At 48.0% G+C, this 6,109-nt stretch overlaps 2 annotated features.

Annotated features, from left to right (window-relative positions):
- Positions 1–927: an enhancer, noted in NCBI's record as "NANOG-H3K4me1 hESC enhancer chr16:87127447-87128373 (GRCh37/hg19 assembly coordinates)". NCBI's record gives its function as "activates a minimal SCP1, AML or CMV promoter by ChIP-STARR-seq in primed H9 embryonic stem cells {active_cell/tissue: H9 hESC(primed)}" and the evidence as "EXISTENCE:reporter gene assay evidence [ECO:0000049][PMID:30033119]".
- Positions 5,163–5,878: an enhancer, noted in NCBI's record as "NANOG-H3K27ac-H3K4me1 hESC enhancer chr16:87132609-87133324 (GRCh37/hg19 assembly coordinates)". NCBI's record gives its function as "activates a minimal SCP1, AML or CMV promoter by ChIP-STARR-seq in naive H9 embryonic stem cells {active_cell/tissue: H9 hESC(naive)}" and the evidence as "EXISTENCE:reporter gene assay evidence [ECO:0000049][PMID:30033119]".

Genomic DNA, 6,109 nt, shown 5'->3' on the forward strand with positions numbered 1-6,109 from the left:
TGCAACTCAGGTTTGTGCTGGGGACAGACTGTTCCATGGGATGAAGACCTTGGAGCAGCCGCAGCAGCCGCAGGGAGGTTGTTAGCCATGCAGCCCCCCAGGTCCCACCCAGACCCCGGATGCAGCAGCAGGGCACACCCTTTCCCCAAATACCCTGGGAGCTGGCTTCCCACGGCGTCCCGCAGTGCCGGCCCATGCAGCAGGCCTCTCAACTGAAGAGGGTCTGGCAGGGAGACCCGGGATGGTTGGTGTCGCTGAGCAGAAGGCTTTTGAGGCTGATCCCACCCTCCAGGTCTATCTCACTGGAAGCCTGCTTCTTCCTACGGCATCTCCAAGTGAGTAGCAAGCCCTGGAAGCCAGCGTACCACAACGTGTCTTGTCCTGGGATTACAACTCCTGGCTGGCTTGGTTGGTCTCAGGGCCAGACGTTGTTGCAGGCAGGGCCATTATTCATGGGTGTTTGTGGCAGAGGATATCGTGTTCAGGCTTCATTTCAAGGCCCAGGGCGCAGGTTTTATTTTTCCCTGGGGCTGCCTGGCTGTCTAAGGTTGCTGGTGGTGGCCGGTATTCTCCACCTCTCACCAGGACCCTCTTGGAAACTAACCAGACGTCTCAGGGGGCTGCTCATTCTGCCTAAGAAATAACAATTAGGCACTCAGCAGGAACAATGGGCGCTTGGAAAAACTCTTAACTGCAAGGTGGCAAGGAGCAAACAGAACTCACCAGTAAACCTCACCAGAAGCATGGAAGAAACGAAAGAAAAGAATGCACTGCAGAGTGGTTGTGAAGCTGCAGGAGCTCTTGGTGAAGGAGGAAGTCAGCCTGTGTTTTTGTGCACCCTGTTTATGAGAGGAACCTGCACAAGAGCTTGTTTGTAGGCCCCTGGAGGAAACTTGCCGAAACTCACGGGTTTTTTGTTTGTTTGTTTCCCCCAGCTAATTTTCATATGTGCTTTATGAGTGGAAAATATGAAAATGGTTCATTTGCTGGTGGGGATAGTACCCTTGAACGTGAAAGCCGGGAGACTCCCAAGAGATTTGCTCATCCCATTTTCCCCAACCAGAGACTGAGTAGGGCTGTGCCCACTCCACACGTGCAAATCACATCTTTGCTTATTTACCGGGTATTTCATTTATCTTTTTAAAAGATTTTATTTTGGAAAATGTCAAACCTACAGGAAAGCTGTAAGTGAACAAACGTATGCCTTTCCCATAGAGCCACCCAGTAACAGTTTGCTGGAATAGTGCTGTTACCAGAAAGGGGTCCCGATCCAGACCCCAAGAGAGGGTTCTTGGATCTCACACAAGAAAGAACTCGAAGTGAATCCATACAGTAAAGTGAAAGCAAGTTTATTAAGAAAGTAAAGGAATGAAGAATGGCCACTCCATAGGCAAAGCACCCCGAGGGCTGCTGGTTGCCCATTTTTATAGTTATTTCTTGATGATATATTAAACAAGGGGTGGATTATTCAGGCCTCCCCTTTTTAGACCATACAGGGTAACTTCCTGACATTGCCAGGACATTTGTAAACTGTCATGGAGCTGGTGGGAGTGTAGCAGTGAGGACGACCAGAGGTCACTCTCATCACCATCTTGGTGGGTTTCGGCTGGCTTCTTTATTGCCGCCTGTTTTATCAGCAAGGTCTTTATGACCTGTAACTTTATCCTGTGTCTAAGAATGCCTTAACCTCCTGGGAATGCAGCCCAGTGGTCTCAGCCTTATTTTACCCAGCTCCTACTCAAGACGGAGTTGCTTTGGTTCCAACACCCGACAGTGCTCTCTTCTCTCTCTCTCTCTCCTCTCTCTACACACACACACACACACACACACACACACAATTATATTATTGCTGGACAATTTTTGAGTAATTTTAGACACAAGTACCCCTATCAAATGTGTACTTCAATATATATCTCCTAAAAACAGGGGCATTCTCTGAAAGAACTACAACTGTGAAATTTAGGAACATTATCACTAATAATCTGCTATGCTTTCATACACAGCTCATATTCAGTTTTCCCCAGTCGTCTCAACTGTCCTTCACAGCAACATTTTCCAGTGGGGGAGAATGTGCTGCCTTTAATCGTCTCATCGCTTTAATCTCCTTTAATCTGAGACATTCCTCAGTCCTTTGCTGTTCCTCACATCACTGGCATTTTTGGAGTCACTTACTTTATAAAGTTTCCCTAATTTGGGTTATTCTGCTGTGTCCTTGTGATGAGACTCTGGCTATGATTTGCAGCAGGAACACCCCAGAAGTGGAGGCATTCCCTTCTCAGTGCCCCATATCAGAGGCACACGATGCCATTTGTTCCATTAACAGTGATGTGGATTTTGATCACTTAGCTATGGTGTGGGGTCCCCCACGGTTCTTATCTTTCCTTAGTAATTCATCATTAATCTGCAGGGACATACACAGAGAGGTGTAACTGCCCGGTTCCCAATACATTTTCACCCATGGTTTTAGCATCCATCTACAATTTCTATCTGCATCAACTTAGTGTTTTCTCCAAATACACTCATTTTTTGCTTAATTATCTTAAATGGTAATGACATACCCCACTATAAATGAATCGCTAGTATCATTTTTTCCTAAAAAGAAGATAAGCATACAAATAAATATAATGAAAAATGTTAGCTATAATTGCCTTCTCATGACTCTGAGCTGAGGCTTGCTTGCTCTCTATTAAACATGAGAAATTTTCATGCCTTTGAGAGTGGTTATGGCTTCACGAGCACCTTGCAGGGACCTTCTCCATGTTACCTTTGTAACTAACCCCTGAAAATGGGCGCTTCGGAGCCCCAGTGGGTAAATGTGAGGACTGAGAACTCTGCCCTCCAATCCCAAAGACACCGCTGAGGGGCATTTCCCTCAGTGAATAGCGATGCCCAATCGTGCAGCGGCAAGAGGGGGTTATTCAGCAGGAACACCCAGGAGGGAGTTTGTGAGAATGGGTTTGTGCCAAACTCCCTGCTTAAGTTCCATCAACTTCAAAATCCCTTTTTCTTCCAAATTGGGCAACCCTGAGACACAGCTTCATAATCCAATCCGTTCTTGCTGCATAACATATGTTAGGAGGCCTTGATTCCAGCTGATGCCAGCTACAGGGCAAACACACCGAACTTCTGTAGCCCGTGCCAGCTTCAGTTTGGATGAAAGCTGGGCTTGATTTTCATTTTTATCAACTATTTTACTCCTCAGCATAACCTAGACCCTGTAACTTGTCTATTTTCCATCTTCAGTGGCTTCATGCGCATAAACATGATAACCCCGGCGTCTGGGGCGTGAGACAGCTGTTGTGTTTTGCTCCCAAGACAGTCTGAGGGGAAGACCTGGAAACTCCCAGACACTCCAGGGCAGGGCCAGGGCATAGGCAGGCAGTGGGTACCAGCCCCACGGCATAGGCAGGCGGTGGGTACCAGCCCACGGCATAGGCAGGCAGGAGGTACCAGCCCCACTCTGCCTTTTGCTCACCGTGTGTGCTTGGTAGACATTTGTTGAATTTTATACTTCAAAGTAATTGAAGTTTACATAAGTATCTACAATCTTCTATCTGCAATAACAATCCTTGAAACAGTTCTTAAAATTTTGAGATCATTATAGATTCACATGCAGTTGTAACAAATAATATAGAGAGGTCCCATGTACCCTTCACCCAGTTCACCCCTATGGTAACATCTCACAAAACTATATAGTACAATGTCACACCCAGGATATTGATTCTCGCGTGTGTGTCAGGGGGGGCGGGGGGGGGTGTACGCGCGTGCATGAGCTATTTTCAGTGAGGAGAAATTCACATAACATAAAATTAACCATTTTAAAGTGAACAATTCAGCCTGGGCGTGGTGGCTCACACCTGTAATCCCAGCACTTTGGGTGGCTGTGTGGATGACCTCAGGTCAAGGAGTTCGAGACCAGCCGATGCAACATGATGAAACCCTGTCTCTACTAAAAATACAAAAATTAGCCAGGCATGATGGTGCACACTTGTAATCCCAGCTACTCGGGAGGCTGAGGCAGGAGAATCACTTGAACCCAGGAGGCAGAGGTTGCAATGAGCCCAGATCGCACCACTGCTCTCCAGCCTGGGTGACAGAGTAAGACTCTGTCTAAAATAATAACAATCATAATAATTATAAGGAAGTGAACAATTCAATGTCACTTTGTTCATTCACATTGTTGTACAACCCCCATCTCTGTCTAGTTCTAAAGCATTTGAATCACCTCAAGAAGAAACCACCATTAAGCAAAAGCTTCCTATTTCCTCCGCCATTGGCAACCAGCAGCCTATGTTCTGTGTCTGTAGATTTGCCCCTTCTAAACATTCCCTTTAAACAGCACCAGGTGGTGGGTGGCTATGTGCATCTGGCTGCTTTCGCTCAGCGTGTTTGTGGGGCTCATCCCTGTTGCAGCAAGTGCCTCTGCTTCATTCCTTTTCGTGGCAGAATAATATTCCATCATGCACACAGATGCAATGACACTCTGACTTTTGTTACATACTTTTCTCTCAGTCGGGTTAGTACTGGGATCTACACCAGCAACAGCTGCATGACCTTGGGCCAATAACTTCCCTGGAGAGAGTCCAGCATTATTTCACCCAACAGATGCTTATTCAGCACCTGCCATGTGTCAGGTGCTAATCTTGGGGCTGAGAATACAGCAGGTGCACCCGATAAAGTCCTGGACCTGTAGGGCTTGCCAACTAGTGGGGGCAGGGGAGATCAGGAAAAACAAACAATATTGGTGATGTCACCTCATGGTGTGGTTTTTAAAATCAGAGGAGGGCTGGAGACTGCAGAGCACTGGGGGTGCCGCTTTGCATGGGCAGGGAGGGCCACGGTCCTAAAGCGCCCAGAGCAAATATCCCGAGGAAGGGAGAAAGTTCCAAGACACCTGGGAGAAAGGCATCCAGGCAGAGGGAATGGCACGTGCAAAAGGCCAGGGAGGGGACTCGCACGTTGGGTGTGAGGAAGGAGCCCAGAGTGGCTGGAGTTGGGCCGGGGGCTCTAGACGGGAAGTCCTAGGAGGTAAAAGTAGGATAGGGGAGCCCAGATCATGGCCAGGGTCTGTGTGTCCCACTGTGTAGTAAAGACCAAGCCATTCGGAGGGAGAGAGACCTGGATTCCAGAAGAAGACAGACCTGGGTTCTAGGTGGAGACAGGTCTAGATTCCAACCCCAGCTCCATATTTGAGCTGGGTTCTGAAGCATGAGTAGGAACCAGTCAGGTGCGTGCTCCGGGCAGAAGGAACCGCCTGTGCAAAGGCCTGGGTGTGGATTGCTCAGGAAAATTGCAAATGATTCCATGTGGCCGGTATTCAGAGTTACATGCTGAGGGCATTCATAAATTAAGCAGGACCCAGATTAGAAAGGGCCTTGGTTAGGCTGTGTCCCCATCCCACATGGTAACAAGCATTTCAAGTATGTTATTAACTGGTAAGAAGGGACAAACTCAAGAAATCCTCAAAGCATTACCTCCCTGTAGTGTCTGGAGGAAAAACTGCCATCATAAAGCTAATGGGGGAGTTCAACCCCTCCCTCAGACCCAAAGGAGGAGGGCTGACAGCTTGTAAAATCCCCAGCACAAAGGATTAATGGGCCAAGGAGTGACCTCTGCTACTGAAGCCTTTTGTTTTCCTGATGGTCACTGCCCCCTCCCTCCAGGGCTACAAACAGCATTTGCTGGGAGCTTTTCATGTCCTCACACCTGTTTTTTGCATTTGCTCTTCCAGCGCTGCTCCCCAACCTTCTCTCCAGCACAGCGCAGTGATAGCGGGTCCCCTTCCCTTCAGCTGCCAGTCATGGATCCGTGCCATGGGAAGCACAGCAGGAGAAGGAGGTAGCTTGGGTAGTAAAGCTCTCACCTTTTCCTAGCGCTGTGTTCTTTACCATTTGCGGGCACCTGAATAATGGCCCCTAAGATGTCTAGGTCCTAAGCACTGGCCCCAGGCAAGAAAGCACACTGGGAGGTGGGTAGGAAAGACAACTGGAGAAGCCTGAACCTACTCTTAGATTTTTAAGAGCAAAACATGTGCAGCTGTGGGTGCTTGAACAATTAGTAGAAATCCATTCCTTGCAACATGGCTCATGTTGAATAAACACAATGCCAG

Source organism: Homo sapiens, chromosome 16 (assembly GCF_000001405.40).
Source record: "Homo sapiens chromosome 16, GRCh38.p14 Primary Assembly".
Classification (NCBI taxonomy): Eukaryota; Metazoa; Chordata; class Mammalia; order Primates; family Hominidae; genus Homo; species Homo sapiens.